This window comes from Homo sapiens, chromosome 6, assembly GCF_000001405.40.
Source record: "Homo sapiens chromosome 6, GRCh38.p14 Primary Assembly".
NCBI lineage: Eukaryota > Metazoa > Chordata > Mammalia > Primates > Hominidae > Homo > Homo sapiens.
Window position 1 is genome coordinate 116,749,852 of NC_000006.12, and position 19,114 is coordinate 116,768,965.

Below are 19,114 nucleotides of genomic sequence, written 5' to 3' on the forward strand. Positions count from 1 at the left end.
AACTCTGATATGTGCACCCCATCACTACCAAACTCCAGTTCAACCATATGGATAGTGTAACCTTTCTGGGATTCTGCCTTTGTGTTGATGTTCTCTCAGCCTTTACAGGTCTCATGTTTTTGACTATTCTCTCCAGCATATAACCACTTAGGATAACTGGATATGCCCATGGCAAATAGCAGCATCAGATATGCTTATTAACACTCTAGATTTTTACTTTGTTATCTATGACTATCTATGACAAGGATCTTCCTTCTTTTCCCAACAGTTTAACCAAGTATTTTAAAAGATGTTTAAAAAAATATTTTGTCCAGATTATTTAGTCCAATACTAGAAGACTTTCTCTGGACATCTCATCTTCTATGTAACCAGAAATGGAAATCATCATATTCATTCTTATAGATATTCTCTCTGAGTATCTCAATATTTAGAATATTCCAGGAATCCTCAAGGTATAAAAAGACTTTTAAAGAGTAGTATAATTTTAAGATAATTGATTTCCAGTTATTTTAACCCCATATATACTCCCTCCTACAATGTATATGCCCAAGAATGTGGTCTGACGGTTCTCCTTTCTCACCTCTCCTCATAACCAACCTTACACTATTGTGCAAAAAGAGAGCACTTCACTCTCATTCTGAACCTTACTCATGCTGTGCTTTGTGATACAAAAACCTTCTGGATGACAAAGAATAATTTTAGAATTAATAGCTCCAGAGAGGGAGTTCCATGAGAGCAAAACAAAGGGAGTCACTGTGCAAAATGTGAAAGCAGCCAGTGCCACAGTGGGTCTCACGAAGACAGAGCATAGACAGGTGGTTACCAGAGGCCAGAGAGAGTGGTGGAGAGAGGGCAATGAAGATAAGTTGATTAACAGGTACAAACATATGGTTTGGTAGAAGAAGTAAGATCTAGTGTTAGATAGATCAGTAGGGTGACTATAGTTTACAGTGATCTATTGTATATTTCAAAATAGCTAGAAGAGAATCATTCAAATGGTTCTAGCATAAAGACAAATATTTAAGGTGACAGATAAGTACACTGATTTTATCTTTACACCTTATAAGAATATATCAAATTATCTCATGTACCCTGAATTTATGTACATCTATTGTGTATAAATTTACAAATTAAAAAAAAAATAAAGCAGCAGTGCCTTGGTTCATCCAAGACACAGACTCATAACAATGCTTCATGCCTTCTCTATCTAAGAGTTAGGATTCAAAAATGAGATTATTGTCACAGGAATATATATTAACATTTTCATTTTCAAATCAAAGTAAGCCTTTTTCTAACAAAAAGTATAGTTACGTGCCACATAATGACATTTTGGTGTAAGATGAATGAACCACATATACAACAGTGGTCCCCAAGGTCATAGGGAGCATACATAGAAGTCTGATATATGGCACTTGGTATTGGCACTGCAGATCAAGTAGGGGACATGACTGATAATTCAGTAATGGTGCTGGGACGTTTGGTTTTCCATATGAAAAATACATATAAATAAAAATATATATACTATCTAGGTTTATGTAAGTATACTCTGTCATGTTTGTACAATGATAAAATCACCTAACAATGCATTTCTCAGAATGTATCCCCATCATTAAATGATCTGTGACTGTATAAGTTTGATTTGGCTCATTAGTTTGACAATAAGAACTGGCTTTGTACCTCAAAATGGACAGGCAGACATCCTCCACAAACTGATTGAGCTAATTATGTGGCTTCAAGGTTATGATGGAAAATACACTTAAAGCACATGAACTATACAATATGCCAGAAGTTATATCTTTTATAATACTTACATTTATGGTTAAAAAATAACAAATGTGAAGTTAAAAATGTGCAGGGATGAGATATGTAATTTTAAAAAGTTATTTTAGGGCTTAAGCAAGTTTGACGATCATTAATGTATACCATTTTTTTTCTCTAACATTTTTGTCATTTTCAAAATTGCTGTTACAATTACTGTTTTAGTACTTTACCATTTTAGGAATAGGTTTTAGAATTAATAATTCAACCTATTTCACCTAGTTACAAACTATAAAAAGAATAATCAGAGGTACTACCCAGCTGCTAAATACAGTGAAATTTTGGTTGAAAATTAGTTTTGATTTTAATGAGCCCTTAATGATTAGTTCAACCTCATTTTAATGACATATACAATGTGCTCATTTTAGCATTATATGTAGTGGCCAGAAACTGTGCCAAATATCAAAATAAATTGTGGTATGTTTATACAACAGAATACAGCAATGACAATGGATGAACTAATGGTACACACAATTTGTGGATTAACCTTATAACTGTCAGGTAAATAATCCACACACACAAGTGCATAATGTATAAATCCATTTATATAAAGTTCAAAAACAGGCAAAATGAATCAAAGGTGATGAAACTCAGAAAAACTGCTATGTTTGGGAGGTAATGGCTGAGAAAAGGCAGGAATGAGGCTGTGAAGTGTTGCCAATATTCTACATCTTCACTTTGGCAGTGGTTACACAGGTGTTCACGACATAAATATCTATCAGACTGTATACAGTTTTGTCCACTTTTTGAATGCATGGTATACTTCAGTAAAAGTTTACTAAAAAATAAAAATAAAAAAGACATTGTGCTTCTTGTTACCAAAATAAAACCATGGCAGATATTTTGGTAAATATTCTATTTTTCCCATCTTCTACTGTTGCTGATGACAGGGATGGTATTCAGGTGAACACTTTGTCACTTAGAATATCATTTAGCTTTAGCCTGTGCAGCCAATGCAGCTTCTTCACGCCACTTAGCTTTCTTTGCCAAGTTCCAACTTGTTAAGGATTCATGTCGTTCTACAGCCTGTGGGGGGGAAGAAATATATATATATATATATATATAGATACACGTATATATATATATATACATATATGTATATATATCTCACTGTGACTCTCTGGAAACTGGAAAAATTTGTATTTGAGATAGAAATACACAGGAGGGAATAGAATTAGAAGTTCTAACATATGTTAATAATGGGAAGAGAGAACAGACTGAATGGGTAAAGAGGCCATATTTGAAGTTATGACAGCATAGACTTTTTCAGAAGTGAGGAAAGCTATAAGTCCTCAAACTGAGAGACATACAAAGTCCTTAGTAAAATAAATAAGCATTTAATATATATTGAAGGATACCTAGTGTGCATCTCACATTTAATATAGCCAAAATAGAGAGTTGACATATTTTGTTCCCCCTGCCTACCAGTCTTTCCCTAGCCATACACATCTCAATAAATGGCAGCATCACCCACCTACTTGCTAAAGTCAAAAAAACCCAGGCCTTTTCACTTCTTTATTCCATTTTCTTTTCTGCTTCCACAATGAATTCACCACAAAGTTCTATCCTTTTTACTTCCCCAAATTTACCTGAACTTGCTAACCTTTTCTGCATCTCCATCTGCCACAATTTCTTTAAGGTACATGCATTGTTATTAAAAATGAAAAATGAATTGGAGACAGGCAAGAGGGACAGTGGTGGGACCATTTAGAAGATATTGCAATGAACCAGGCAATAGATGTATATTGGTATCTCAGGAGAGATACTGAGGAGTGCTCCAATTTGGCTGTATTTTGAAAGTGGAGCCAATGGGGTTGCTGATGACTTATCCACGAGCAGCTAGAAAGATAGAGTTGACATCAACTGAGAGGAGGAAAACAGTACAGAAAAGGGTGGCTCAGGGTTGTCTGGGGGAAGATCTAGAGTTCAACTTTTGACACGTTAAGTTTGAGATTCCATTAGACATCCAAAGGGAAATGTTAAGTAAGCAACTGACTATATGAATTTGAAGTGCAGAAGGAAGACATTAGCTGAAATATAAATTTGAGAGTCCTTGGAATATAGAAGGTGTTTAAATCCAGAAGACTTGGTAAGATCCCCAAGGGAGTGAGTGTAGCTAGAGAACGGAAAGACTAAAGACTGATCCATGGGGAGATTCCACTGTTATGAGGTCCAGGAGAATAGGAGAAACTGGCAGAGTAAACTTGGAAGACGTGGCCAACAGACAACCTACGTGAGTGTGGTACCACGGAAACCAAGCGAAGAAACCGTTTCATAAAAGATAAACGATTTTCATTCCCAATGCTCTCACTTCAGAGCTTCTGAGGATTTTTATGGAAGGACAATGGCTAGTTTGCATTCTCCAACAAAGGGTAAGTGAAAAATGTCACATTGGCCTATTCCAGTGTTTTTCATATATCCATTTATAACTAACTATTTCCCTATGTGCCAAAAATATTCTTTTCTTGGTTGAAGAATGGAGAGACTGGCTACTATGTGCCAGAATTTCTGTAGAGGAGTGGCTTTGAAGTGCAGGGAGACCAAATTCCTTTATAATCCAGATATTCTCAACCTAGACATAGTTTTAGCAGCTCCAGTAGATTGAACTCAGATTGAGCAGAATCTGAGGGAGGGAAGATACTGATTCAGCACTGATTCGGCAGAAGAAAATATTTGCTAATCAAGCAGAATTGTCAACTGCTTCCCCAAAATGTAATGAGATTTATCAGCACCCAAGCATTGAAACGTTGTGTCAAACTGAGTCTAAATAAACAGTCTTCAAAGTAGGATAAGAACTACGATGTCCACTGAGGTCAAGAAAGCAATAGGAACACATTTCATCTTTTTTTAAAAAGAAAAATTGCTAACATTTAATAGAAGAGTTGAGGAATAGAGAATCCTCCTCTATGTCAGGAGTTGGAGATATCTTGAGGAACCTGTGACAGTTCTATAATACAGAAGAATATAAAGGCACATCTCATTTTATTGTGCTTTGCTTTATTGTGACTTTCTTTCTTTCTTCTTCTTCTTTTTTTGTTTTTTTCAAATTGAAGGTTTGTGGCAACCTTGCATGGAACAAGTCTATAGGCTCCATTTTTCCAACAGCATGTGCTCACTTCGTGTCTCTGTCACATTTTGCTAATTTTTGCAATATTTCAAACTTTTTCATTTTCATAACATCTGTTATGGTAATCTGTAATCAGTGATTGCTGTTGTTACTATTGTACTTATTTTAGGGTGCCATAAGTATGCCCATATAAGACAGCTAACTTAATTGATAAACATTGTATGTATTCTCCACTCCATCCACTGGCCAGTCTCCCATTTCTCTCCCTCTCTTTGGGCCTCCCTATTCCTTGAGATGCAACAATATTGAAATTAGGCCAATTAATAACCCTATAATGGCCTCTACATGTTCAAGTAAAAGGAAGGGTTGTACATCTCTCACTTTAAAAAACTAGAAATGATTAAGCTTAGTGAAAAAAGGCATGTTGAAAACCAAGATAGGTCAAAAGCTTGGCCTCTTGTGCCACGTTGTGAATGCAAAGGAAAAGTTATTGAAGAAAATTAAAAGTACTACTCCAGTGAACACCTAAATAAAGTGAAACAGCCTTATTACTGATATAAAAAACGTTTTAGTGGTCTGGAAAGAAGATCAAACCAGCCACAGCATTCCTTTAAGCCAAAGCCTAATATGGAGCAAGGCCCTAACTGTCTTCAGTTCTGTGAAGGCTGAGAGAGGTGGGAAAGCAGTAGAAGACAAGTTGGAAGCTAGCAGAGGTTGGTTCATGAGGCTGAAGGAAAGAAGCTGTCTCCATAACAAAAGTGCAAGGTGAAGCAGCAAGTGCTAATAGAGAAGCTACAGCAAGTCATCTAGAAGATCTATTATAGCTAATTTTGTTGATGAAGTCTATGCTAAAATACAGTTTTTCAATGAAGACAAAATAGCCTCATTTTGGAAGAAAATGCCATCTAGAACTTTCAGAGATAGAGAGAAGTCAATGCCTGGTTTTAAAGCTTCAAAGACAGGCTGACTCTCTTGTTAGGAGCTATTGGCAGCTGATGACTTTAAGTGGAAGCCAATACTCATTAGCATTCTGAAAATCCTAGGGCTCTTAAGAATTATGGTAAATCTACTCTGCCTGTGCCACGAATGGAATAATGAAGCCTGGGTGACAGCATATCTGCTTACATGGCTTTCTGAATACTTTAAGCTCACTGTTGAGACTTACTTCTCAGAAAAAAAAAGATTCCTTTCAAAATATTACTTCTCAGTGACAATGCACCTGGTCACTCAAAAGTTCTTATGGATATTTACAAGGAGATTAATATTTTCATGACTGCTAACACAACATCCATTCTTCAGCCCATGGAAAAAGGTGTCATTTCAACTTTCAAGTCTTGTTATTTAAGAAACACATTTTGTAAGGCTATAGCTACCATAGATAGTGATTCCTCTGATGGATCTGAGCAAAGTAAATTGAAAACCTTCTGGAAAGGAGTCACCATTCTAGATGCCATTAAGAATATTTGTGAATCATAGGAAGAGGTCAATATTAATAGGAGTTCGGACGAAGCTGATTCCAATCCTCATAGATAACTTTGAGGGGTTCAAGCCTTCAGTGGAGGAAGTATGAGGAAGTAACTGCAGATGTGGTGGAATAGCAACAGAACTGGAATTCATAGTGGAGCCTGAAAACAAAATTGAATTGCTATAATCTCATGATAAAACTTTCACAAGATGAGTTGCTTCTTACAAATAGCAAAAAGTGGTTTCTTGAGATGGAAACTACTGCTGGTGAAGATGTTGTGAACATTGGTGAAATTAGAACAAAGTATTTAGAATATTACATAAACTTAGTTAATAAAGTAGTGGTAGGGTTTGAGAGAACTGACTCCAATTTTGAAAGAAGTTCTACTGTGAGGAAAATGCTGTCAAACAGCATTGCCTGCTACATGGAAATCTTTCATGAAAGAAAGAGTCAACTGATATGGCAAACTTCATTGTCATCTTATTTTAAGAAATTGCCACAGCCACCCCAACCTTCAGCAACCACCATCCTGATCTGTCAGCAGCCATCAACATCAAAGCAAGACCTTCCACCAGCAAAAAGATTACAACTCATTGTGTACTATAAACATAACTTTTATATGCATTGGGAAACCAAAAAATTTGCGTGTCTCAGTTTATTCTAATATTCACTTTATTGTGAACTGAACATACAATATCTCTGAGGTATGCCTGTTTTCATTCATTTCAATACCATTAGAATAGATATTAATAAATAAGAATGGTTTCTTTTTTGGCCAGAAAATTACATGGCGTCTTTAAATACTTATATGGATAATTTTGTAAGCTTAAATAAAGTCTCTAAACAATTTATGGGGTTTTGAATCCATTTGGCACAAAATTCAAAACTACTATATCTTCCAATTATTTTGCAAGAATAAAATAGCTGAAGAACATCAGGGAGGGTAAGAAATTACTGGGCATATTTCAACAAAAGCTTTGGCATAGTTGGTGGATAAAATTAAGTATTAGCACCACCATTTAGTAATCACAGCTAAAGAGGTATTTCTTTTACTGGATCTATGTATCAATAAGTGTCTTATTTTCAGTTACAATATTATAATGAATATAAAATCGCAAAATTGTAGATAATAATAAAGCATTTCAGTTGTATTGTTACTATATGAAAATATGTTAAATATATAATACGGTATATGTCATACATGTTAATAAAATTTTAGGGAAAATGTTTTTGTGTCATTCACAAACAAAGTACAATTTATTGGATGCATGCAGTGGCTCGTGCCTGTAATCCCAGCACTTTGGGAGGCCAAGGCAGGAGGATCGCTTTGAGTTTAGGAGTTTGAGGCCAGCCTGGGTGGCATGGCAAAAACTCATTTCTACAAAAAATACAAAAAAATTAGCCCGGCATGGTCATTGACACCTGTGGTCCCAGATACTTAGGAGGCTGAGCCTGCAGAATCCCTTGAGCCTGGCAGGCAGAGGATGCAGGGAGCCAAGATCATGCCACTGCACTCCAGCCTGGGTGAGAGTGAGACCCTGTCCTCCTCCACCAAAAAAAAAAAAAAAAGGGGTGGGGTGGGGAGACCAACTGTGTCAAATGCTGATAGGTCAATGAAGATGAGTGTATCATTGGTGACCTTGATAACAGCAGTTTGATGGAGCGTTTGAGGCACGAGCCTGATCAGACGGAATGAGACAGGAAATCAGAGACAGTGTATATAGACAGGTCTACTGAAAAGGTTTGCCATAGAGAAATGCAGCTATACCAAAAGAAGTTTTGTTTTTGGTTTTGAAGAGGGAAGTAGAAACATTTCTATATTTTGATAAAAAATGATACAGTAGAGAAGAAAAACAACTAATGACGAGCAAATAAACCTGAGAATTCCTGGAATGAAAACCTTGAAAAGGCAAAATGGAATGGGATCCACGCAATTAATAAGAGCTTCTAGATTGGAGCAAGAATCATTTACAATAGGCAGAAAAGCAAAATATACAGGATTATGTGTCATAAGACTGGAAACTGCTCCTTGGGCTGCTACAATTCTCTCAGTGAGGTGGAAGGAAAGGTCATCAATGGGGAGGACTGTGGAGGTGTAAGGTCTGAAAAGACAGCATGAAATAGTTGGATGGCTAGACTTCTTTTCCTGTGTTTAAGAGGCATGTGCATTTTATTTTCTGCAAATTCTGCCTTTTTGTATCTTTCACCCATTTTTTAAAATAAAAGGTTGTTGCTGTTTTATTTAGTGGAGCTCCTTATAATTTAAGAAAATTAGCTCTTAGTTTGTGATCTATTTTGTATTTTTCCTAGTTTGTCATTTGTGTTTTTACTTTATTTATGGCACTTTTTACCAAGCAGAATTTTAAACTTTATATGATTAAATTTATCTATCTTTTCTGTTGTATAGCTTCTCAGTTTTGTTCTATATTTAGAAATGTCTACCTAACCACTATAAAGAATTCCCTCATATATTCTTTTGGTGATTTTAAGGCTTCACATTTAATGTGAAAATCTTATATCCAACTGCAATTTATTTTATGTAGAAAGTATAGTTGGAATGTCCCAATATCATTTCTTGACTAATTTATCTTTCTCCACTCATATACAGAGTCACTATTTCATATATTAAATCCCTATGTAGTGGGTTATTTATGTGATTTGAATTCAGTTCTATTAAGTTGCCTGTCTATTTGTATGTCAGTACTGCAGTTTTAATTATTGTTGTTGTTTTGTTTTAATATATTTTAGAGCTAGTCCTCCCTTAGAACTATTATTTTTAGTATTTTCTTGTGTATTTTGCTTATTTTTCTATATAAATTTTAGACTTAGTTTGTCTACTTCCAAAACAAATCCTATTGCTATTTTTATTGCAATCATGTCAACTTTATAGACTTAGAGAAGTTCGCTCTCTTTAAAATGTCAAGTCTTCCTATTCCAAATAAAAATTTCTTAGGTTATACCTTCTCTTGTGGCCACTGGTAGTGTTTAAAAGTTGCCTTTATATAGATATTGCATGATTTTTAATTTCATTCTTACGTGCCTTACCTTTTTTGTTTGTTGCTATTTTAAGTAGGATCCTTATTTCTAATCTTTCTTTCTTTTTTTTTTTTTTTTTATTTTTTGAGACAGAGTCTCTGTCGCCCAGGCTGGAGTGCAGTGGCACAATCTCGGATCACTGCAAGCTCCACCTCCTGGGTTCACGCCATTCTCCTGCGTAGCCTCCCGAGTAGCTGGGACTGCAGGCGCCCGCCACCACGCCTGGCTAATTTTTTTGTATTTTTTTTTTTAGTAGTGACGGAGCTTCACCGTGTTAGCCAGGATGATCTCGATTTCCTGACCTTGTGATCCGCCCGCCTCGGCCTCCCAAAGTGCTGGGATTACAGGCGTGAGCCACCGCGCCCGGCCTGATCTTTATTTTCACTGGGTTTTGAATAAAGAGGAGAGTGAAAATTTTTAAATCTTGTCACTATCTTGCTTAAAACTCTACACTGGATCCCCAATGTATTTTTAAAAACCTGAACTATTTGCAGTGATCCATAGGCCTGACACTATCTGGACTCTCCCTGTCTCATACCATCTTCTCTTTGCTCATTATACTCCATCCACACTAGCTCCTTTTTGTTTCTTAACACACCAGACCCTTTCTCACCTCTAAGCTTTGCACATGCTGTTCTTTCCTTCCCCCGGTCTTCTCATGGCTAGCTTATTCTCATCCTCCTCAGAGAGGACGTCCCTGACCACTCCATCAAAAATGGCCTCTCCTGGGGTGTTACTATTTTATCATCCTGTTCCTTTCCTTCATTGCACTAAGAATTCCTCAGATCTTTTTAGTTTATGTGTTTACTTGATCACTCTCCATTTTCCCTACTACAAAATACCTGTCTTTTAATTCCATGATATTCTAATAACTACATGCAGAGTGCCTGGCATGTCTCAGGTGCTCAAAAGTATTTAGTGTATTAATGATTTAAAATCAGTGTTTGCTATCACACTTTTGGAGAAGAGGAAACAGAGCAATAACTGGTGCTACACATAAAACTCAATTCTCAGTTGCTACTTTTTGTGTCAGATTCACACAGAGAAAATCCCTGGCTATTGATTTATAATAGAATTATATTTGAAATATGGAATTTTAACAGGAAATGAAAAAACCTTTCCTTCAAATCATATGTGTTGAAAATAAAATGATGACATCAGTAGATCTCTAATATGCCAACTTGCTGATAAAATATATATTAAGTTTAATTGGTCTTAATGTCTCATTTGGAAACTTGTGATTATGATTTAAAAACATTAAAGTGCCATTATAAATAAATTATTAGAGGGTGATTCTAAGTAAACAAATTGTCTAATTAATGTTTATCTTTTTGATGTAGATGAGGCAATACACTAATCATCAAAATATTCCTAGAAACTAGAGAATCATCAATTTGGCAGGCAGTCATTTAACGTTAGGTTAAAAACAAAATATTATCAAAGTTATTTATTTACATGCTTGAGTGTTCAGTCCAGTAAACATTTCAAAATTTCTCATTTGGTGAGAACAATTTCAAAGCATAGATTTTTTCCATGCTAATAGGAATGAAAGGACATTTATATAATATCAGTAGGCTTGTAAGTCCTAATCCCTGTGTGAAGTTAGTGGGCTCAGACACACTTGGGCACCTGAGGAGTAAAGGACAGAATCACAGAATTGGGCAGAATGGTAATTAGCTAAATACGCCCAGAGAGTGAGGATGTATGGAGCCAAGCAAACTATTCTGAATGATACGTATGCACTATTGAAACCCAGTGTTCACAACCAAAAATGTTATAATCCAGCTCTAATGGCTTCAGTTGCAGGTGCCACGATGAGGAGGGGCACTGTTAAAACTGGAGTGTATTGAGAGGACAGCTCAAAGGTAGAAGGAAGTTGTTAGAGTGGTTAAAACTGAAGAAGCAAATACTCATAGGTATGTGTTAGAAATGTCAAAATACTTGTGGGGCTGCTCTTTGTGGTAAAAAGTGACCAGTAGATGGAAGGATTTTGGGAGGCAGAAAACAAAATTAGAGGGTAGTCAGCTCTTAATTTCTCACTAGAGGTATTAAACAGAAACCATACATTGAGAAAGGCAAGGAAAGGGCTGACATAAAGGATCCAGACAAACTAGAATACCTTGGCAATCACTTCCAAGCTCTGCATTTCTAACTAGTTCATACTTCTGTGCAATAGCTAATTGAGTTCCTGATTTAATGAATGATCTAGTCTGGATAACTTTCAACAACAAAGTTCTCCGTCTTCTGCAGATTTTAACCACGGTGTAAATTGTTTTGTTTATAAGTTAAAACAAGCATTTGTCCCTCCTGGCCATATAGTGTTAATTTGTTGACTCAAATTTCCATGAACAAATTTATCTCCAGTATTTTTTATATATATATATACACATATATATACATATATATACACTTATATATATACTTATATATATACTTATATATACATATATACATATATAAATACTTATATATATACTTGTATATATACTTATATATACACACACACACACACACACATATATATATATATGACTTCAAGTCTCAAAGACAAAATTGTTCTTATATTAAAAAACAGCAGTAATCCTGAATCGAGAACAATGTCCATGACATTTCTTAAAATTCACCCTTTGGGCTGACTAAGGAGGTACTCACCCTTTTGGTGAGATACTCTTTTAGGGAGGTACTTAAAAAGAGGTACTTACCCTTTTAACTGACTTGCCCTTTTAAGGAGATACTCACCCTTTTGGCTGACACTATCACAGCAAAGCAGGCGATAATTGTGAGTCCAATCATTATGTAACAAGCTTTCACTCGAGCTTTGTTTCTTGCGGTGTCTATCATTTCTGGCCTAAACAAAGATGTGTATTTTGTTAAATATGTAAAAGTAATATGGTTTTCTGACAGGCATGATAGATAATTTGCCATGTAAACATTCCAAAAAATTCCCTGAATGCAAACTGCATTTGGTGACATTTTCATGTGAAAGACTTTGAAATGCTAGCTAGTTATTTTTACCAATTTCAAATTAACAAGTATTTATTCAGATCTTAAATTAATGTTAGCCATTATGAAACCACTGTATAGAATATTAGTTTCTAATTCCTCAAAATATAACTACTAGAGATGCTAACTTGACTCTCCATTGTTTTTATTCACTAAGTGGGGTAAAGGAAGAGTTAAAGCATATGTATGTTGATGACTTGCAATTATTTAGCCTCTTTGTAAAGTAGGCTTTGTTTTCCATTTGAACAGTTTTTTTTTTAAAACTCATTTTTATCATTTTGTTTTTTTCACTCGCCTCCCAATCTCTTGTCCCTTCACATGCTACCCCCAAAAGACACACTATTATCCAGCTTGTGAGAATGTCTGTTAGAAAAATGTTTCCTTCATGGCTTTTGCAATAATTTTTTGTTAAACGTGATCAAAATCACAATAATTTGCCGAGGAAAAAGATAAAAGAGACCTTCATTTTAATGTTATTATTATACTGAAATTTGATATACTTAAATTCTAAATATTCATTCATAGTTTTATGCATGTTGTCCAAGATTTTAATAATACTACTTACAAAGTAGTAATACAAAAGGCATCATGCCTGTGGGACTTTTACGTTGAAATAAACTTTAACAATTTTCAATGATATGAAGTGGCAGATTATAAATATGCATATTTAAAGAATTTCATTCATTATAATATATTCATTGGTATTCTTTCCTCTCTATGTGCAGTTTAAATAGAGTGTAGTTACATTGAAAAAAAAAATCCAGAAAGACAAAGTTGCATTTTCTCTTAAAAACAGAAAACTTTTTAAATTTTCCACTGGTTAAAAGACTACAGAAAACTCCTATCTAGCCTATTTTCTTTAGATTTTAGGCAGAGTGATGTAAGTTTTAAGATGTTAGTTGCAAACAGGTCCAATTAGTGAGTATGGAGAAATTATTAGATTATATTTGCTGCTAACTTTTGTTCCAGATGGAACCTAGAAGCTCTGATCTTTTTTACCCAGCCATTTGGCTTTAATCTATTATAACAAATTAGTTTAGCACTGAGAAAAACAAGACAAAGTACAGTTATTATTAAACACAATTAGTGTATGATACAAAAATTATAGGTCACTTGTTCATTATATGTCCATTAAAAGGTAAAAGCTGTTTACATTGTAAGTGTGACACTTAGCTTAACAGGAATATCTCTCTTAAATAGTAATGCTTAAAAAGTTATAGAAAAATAATAAAATGAAAAATACTCAAATACTTTTATGTTTCCAATGCAAAACTGCAATGCTTTTTATAGGCATCCTGTTCTTAGTGAAATGCTCCTGTTTATAATACATCTTTTGACTATGATCTTGGGGAAATTACATTATTTCTGTAAAATGAGTCTGTTCACAAATACAGCTATGTTAAATGCAATACTGGGCATAGGTTTTCTTGACAAACAATATGCAATAATGTTGGTTCTTTACACTCTTGATTACTTGGTTAGGCCACTAGAAATAAAAATTCAAACCAATTGAGGGTGGTGGCTTACTTATTTTAATTTTTTTTTTTTTTTTTACTTCTTTGGCATTTATAGTATTAAATTTTCAGGCATCAATTAAAATTTGATAACCAGAGCTTATGATGATAAAGACTTTTCTGAGGCTAACTTTTGCTTTCAGCTAAGTCTGTAGTTTGGAGTCTATAGATCTCGAGGAAAAATAATCTTAGAAAGTGCCTCTGTAGTTGAATAAATACTGAAAACGGATTCAAATGCAGTGTTATTTCAAATTCCATGTCCATTTCTCATTTGGTGACTTGCTCCAATAAAAGAACGAAAATGCTTCAGAATTCATTACTGAGTGTACATTTCCTGCCATGTTCTCCCACCCCACCCCCTAGCTATCTGAGATGCTTTGGTAACTGATAAACTGCAATTGTTTATAAACAATAACATGGCAGGCACCATGTGAAAAACAGAAATATAGGCCCAGTTTCCATTATCCATTCTAATAGGCATTCATTACATTGTACAAATATACAGAATATCTAAAATCCTTCTTTCACGTTATGGTTTTAGTCTTTTATTTTTAAAAGATAAACTTAAAAAGTAGTAGATTGATTTTATTTTTAGTTTCCGTCCCTCTCTTTTTTACCCAATCCCTTGTAAAAATGCTGCGAAGGTTTTTGGGCTTGGCAGAAACAGAAACTTTGGAAAGATTTTTTTACAGGTTACATTTACTTATTATTAGCATTTATTTTACAGGTTACATTACCTTAGAGGGGGAGTTATTAGTTTGAGTTTTATCATCTGTCTTGGTGGGTTTAGCATGCTGAAGAGGCCCACAGTGCTGACACTCCCGCGCGTCCCACCCTGAGTAAACCCGGAGCCTAGAGGGCTGCAGAAACACGTCCGCCAGGCGTCTCCTGCCCCAGAAGAGGAGGCCGCATGGATGCGTCTTTTTTCCAGAGACCCCCCCGCCACAGCCGCCCCGCAAGCCAAGATCAGAGAACCCCTTCCTTGGGTGGGGTAGGGGGACGCCCCCGGCCAAAGCCTGGATTGCGGTCTGGCGTCCCGGCAGCCATCCGGATGCTCGCGAGGACCGTGGCCTGTTTGGCACAAGAGCCCCACTGCCTCCCAGTTCGGAGCTTGCTGGGGACCGGCAATCTGGGCGGTGCTGGAAGTGTCCCCTGAACCTCTCAGTTTTCACCCACCTTCTGCAATCTCCCTGTAAGCTTAATTGACTCTTGACACACCGCACTGGAGGCGGGGTGTGTGTGTGGGTAAACTCCGTGTGTGGTGGGTGATATTGCGAAGTGTTGGCACTGCGGCCGCTTTCGCTCCTAGGTGGCCGCGGTCGGAAGGTGGGTCACCCCGCACCCTTGCGGCCGGGGACCGACTCTCCTTCGCGCGGCGGTCGCCACACTTACGGGATCCGAGGCGGGATCTCCTCCATCGATTTGAAACGCCCTGTCCACAGCAGGATTTTCTTGTCGAACTGCGAAGGCCTGCGCTGCGTGGGGACTCGGTGAATCTCCCCTGCAGCGAAAGCAACCCAGATGGACGCGGGAACTGACGCACCGGCACAGAGGATCAGCGCGCCCTCAAGCCGACTCCCGGGCCGGCCCCTCGCTGCCCTCCCGCAACCTCCTCCCTCCCAGGACCTCCCCGTCGGAGCCCTGGCTCACCGTGACCTTGGGGCCCAGAATTGCTGGGGGCCCCGCCGCTGGAGTAGCAGGGGAGACCCCGGGGCGGAAGAGCCGGTGCGGGCCGTCGCGTGGCCTCGAGAGGCGCCCCGGGGCCGCAGCGGACTGTTAGCCCGCGGCCAAGGCGCAGTAGGCTCCCGACCGCCCTGAGCATGCTGCCCGCTTGTCCCGCGCCGCACCCGCACCTCCGGACCCAGCCACAGGCGTTGTCCCCGCAGCTCTCCTCGTCCCGCCCCGGCCTGCCGCGCGCTGGAGAGCCTGGGACGTGCAGCTGGAACCCCTGGCGCTCGCACACTCAGCTCGCTATCCCCGTCTCCGCCCCCGGCCAGCGACCCGGGATCAGGGCGTCAAGCCCCGAGGGGCTGGTTCCTCAGGAAGCAGCCTGCCTCTGTTTGAAACAGGCTCACCACCGCCTGAGGCAGTGCGTGTAGCTCCTTTTAAATTCTTTGTATTGAGTAGAAATGTATTCCCGCCAGGCTTTTAGCCTTTGATTCCATCGTTTGTTCCCCAGGAGAATAAATCTAAATCCTCTCTTCCAGGAAGAGACAACAATCCTTCAAGTGCAGGAAACTGAAGACATTTCCCAATTAAGTGTTAAGGGCACTCCACTAACTTCTGGATGAGATTTCTTGAAGTTAGCTCCTCACCTCATCGTCTCCCACCCCCATACCTTTTCTCTTTCCTACGGAAAACAATCTCAATTCCTCCAAGTGCCTTTCTCTATCTTTTCTTCTTCTTTTCAGAGACAGTCTCTGGCTCTGTCACTCAGGCTAAAGTGCAGTGGCATGCTGATAGCTCATTGTAACGTCGAACTCCTGGACTCAAGTAGTCCTCCCACCTTAGCCTCCAGAGTAGCTAGGGCTTTGGTCGTGCGCCAGCACGCTCCGCTATTTTTTTTTTTTTTAAGAGATGGGATCTCACTATGTTGTCCAGACTGGTCTCCAACTCCTGGCCTCAAGCTATCAGCTGGGCTCTGCCTCCCAAAGCACTGGGATTACACGTATGAGCCGCCATGCCAGCTTCCTACCTCTTCATCTCTTAGCCCACAAACTCTCCACACTCCCTTCAAAATGTGCCTTTCTTCTGTCACCTTCCACCATCTCCTCTATGCTAAAAGGTAAAAGAATCTACTATTTTCAGGCATTAAATGGTAACAGGGATTCAGATTCAATGATTGGAGAGAAGGGTTGTACAAGCAATTTACTTATCTTGTTCCACAGACAACAGACCTCCTGCCAAGTCAAAGTGCTCATCAGCCCAGCACCAGGCCGAGCTCACCCTCCTCTGCTATTACTGCCTGTGAGTTTCCCTCCTTATCTAGACACTGCTTTGCACTTGTTGGATTTCTAGATATTTTGCTTCCTAACTAGACTGTCAGGCTCTTGAAAGCTATAACTTTTCTGTAACTGCCAGCTCAGTTTTTTTTTCTTTTTACATAACCGTGTTAAACAAAAAAAGAGGGGTTAATAGCTCTGTGAAGACATACATTTAGAGGAGCGCTTGCAGAAGGAACATGGGCTTTGCCTTCACACCTAGGTTTAAATCCCGGATTTGTGACTTAAAAGTTGCACAATCATGAGCAGTAAATCATTTAAGTTATAAGTCTTGGTCTCTTTTGTAAAACCAGAATTCCTATCTTTTAGGTTTATTCATGCAATGACTACCAGTAACCAGCTACGTGCCAGCTACCTCTCAGAGCTGGGGATGGAGCAGTGATGACATCAGGTGAAGATGAAGAAAAATAAAACAAGGTGAAAAAGAATAAGCAGGAGTAGAGTGAGAAGATATTTAGAAACCATGGTTAGCAATGTCCTTCTAAATGTGCCTGGTGTGTAATAATACTTCAGAAGATAATGATTTCTTTCCCCGTCACATTCTTTAGTCCCAAAACACAAGGGCATTTTAATTTATGAAATCTCCTGTGGGGAACTAGGAGCTCCCTGACCTTCAGGAGTTGTGATTATATTCCCAAGATATAGCTGAAAAATTGGCACTTAGTAGATATTTAATAAGTATTTGTTAAATAAATGAATAGATGAATACAAGTCTTCGAAAACAGAATAGTCTGCACCTAGGCTAGTTTACGAAAAGACTGAGATGCTTGAGGACATTCTATGTCCTTTTAAACTTCATACTTTCAGTGTCTATCATGTTGCTTACCACATAGCGGTCTCCAAATAAGTGTTTATAAAACTCAACTGAATGAATTCCTGCCTGAGAAAGTATGTTGCCATAGCTAATATTGCTCCAGCATTATGGTACTTGAAGATTCTTGCATTATTTAAATGTGGTTTTTTCTATTAGTATTTTATTTGTCTTCACATCACTGAGAGGGAGTATCCATAGAGCTAGAGAAAGCCATCACTGAGAAACAACCAATCGTTAATAATTCACTAAGAAATATTAAACAAGGGAAATAAGTTTATTTCCCTGGAGGGAATCAAATGTCATAAATATACACAGGATTTTCTATTTCGAGCTTCTCCAGTATTGCAGAACTACAGGTCAACAGAATAAGCTCAAGTCATGAGAGAAAGAACAATTTGCTGTTCTCTATTCCTGATGGGATTAAAATATCACTATTTGGCAGTAGTCTACATAAATAAATTACTTACAGCTGCATTAGAGATTTTTTTCAGTTCTATAATTAGAACAAGTAAAAAAAAATTTGAATAAACTTTTAATATAATAATACAGTAATTATATTCCTTTATTTCTTTTTCTAATGAGGACAGCACATTTTTATTTTATTTATTTAATTTTTTGAGATGGAGTTTCCCTCTGTTGCCCAGGCTGGAGTGCAGTGGTGCGATCTCGGCTCACTGCAACCTCTGCCTCCTGGGTTCAAGCGATTCTCCTGCCTAAGCCTACCAAGTAATGGGATTACAGGTGCCTGCCACCACACCCAGCTAATTTTTGTAGTTTTTTAGTAGAGACGGGGTTTCACCATGTTGGCCAGGCCGGTCTGGAACTCCTGACCTCAGGCGATCTGCCCGCCTATGCCTCCCAAAGTGCTGGGGTTACAGGCGTGAGCCACCACGCCTAGCCAGCACATTTATTCACTGAACAAATATTGACTGAGTGCTTCCTATGTGCTGGATACTGTTTTATTTCTGAGATTATAGCAGGTAACCAAACAAAAATCTCTGTTCATTACAGAGCTTATTAATCCATGCAGTTTTCGTTTACTCACTGTGTTCTATGTTATTTTTCATTTCAAAGATTCATGTAATTTGCAGTTTGTTTGAACATATGATTGTCAGTATTTTTCCTTCAAGCCTTGTTTTTGATTAGAATGGCTCACATTTTCCTTTTCTATAGCTAATGTAGTTACTTAAGATACACTGTTATAACTAGGACTAGATTTTAAATAAAGTAATTCCATAAACACTGCAGAGTGTAGGTAATTTTTTTTTCTTAGTTGGAAGCTGTGTGCTTCTTGCTGGACTAAAGCAGAGGATGCAAAGATAGAGCTGCAGAGCTGCCCCCAGGAGCTCTCAGTCTGGCTGGGATGAGGTTCCCTCATCAGGAAATGACCCGCTC

The 19,114-nt window shown here is 37.9% G+C and overlaps 1 protein-coding gene and 1 long non-coding RNA gene across 2 annotated transcripts, besides 2 other annotated features; one reads left to right on the top strand and one right to left on the bottom strand.

Annotated features, from left to right (window-relative positions):
• Positions 1–2,345: 2,345 nt before the first annotated feature.
• Positions 2,346–15,868, bottom strand: FAM162B (family with sequence similarity 162 member B). Its single transcript, NM_001085480.3, has 4 exons — positions 15,554–15,868; positions 15,296–15,404; positions 12,126–12,234; positions 2,346–2,844 (listed from the first exon to the last, which is right to left on the bottom strand). The coding sequence occupies exons 1-4, from the start codon at positions 15,723–15,725 to the stop codon at positions 2,746–2,748; spliced, it is 489 nt and encodes a 162-aa protein (NP_001078949.1). The 5' UTR covers positions 15,726–15,868; the 3' UTR covers positions 2,346–2,745.
• Positions 3,148–3,317: an enhancer, noted in NCBI's record as "experimental_88226 CRE fragment used in MPRA reporter constructs". NCBI's record gives its function as "activates a minimal promoter by MPRAs in K562 erythroleukemia cells, with activity observed for both the introgressed and non-introgressed 6:117074247 variant alleles {active_cell/tissue: K562}" and the evidence as "EXISTENCE:reporter gene assay evidence [ECO:0000049][PMID:34662402]".
• Positions 14,889–15,403: an enhancer, noted in NCBI's record as "H3K4me1 hESC enhancer chr6:117085903-117086417 (GRCh37/hg19 assembly coordinates)". NCBI's record gives its function as "activates a minimal SCP1, AML or CMV promoter by ChIP-STARR-seq in primed H9 embryonic stem cells {active_cell/tissue: H9 hESC(primed)}" and the evidence as "EXISTENCE:reporter gene assay evidence [ECO:0000049][PMID:30033119]".
• A 648-nt stretch (positions 15,869–16,516) lies between the features above and the next one.
• On the top strand, positions 16,517–18,169 carry LOC105377963 (uncharacterized). The gene is made up of 3 exons (XR_942910.3): positions 16,517–16,688; positions 16,792–16,870; positions 17,215–18,169. It is a non-coding gene; the product is annotated as an uncharacterized LOC105377963 (long non-coding RNA).
• Positions 18,170–19,114: the final 945 nt, after the last annotated feature.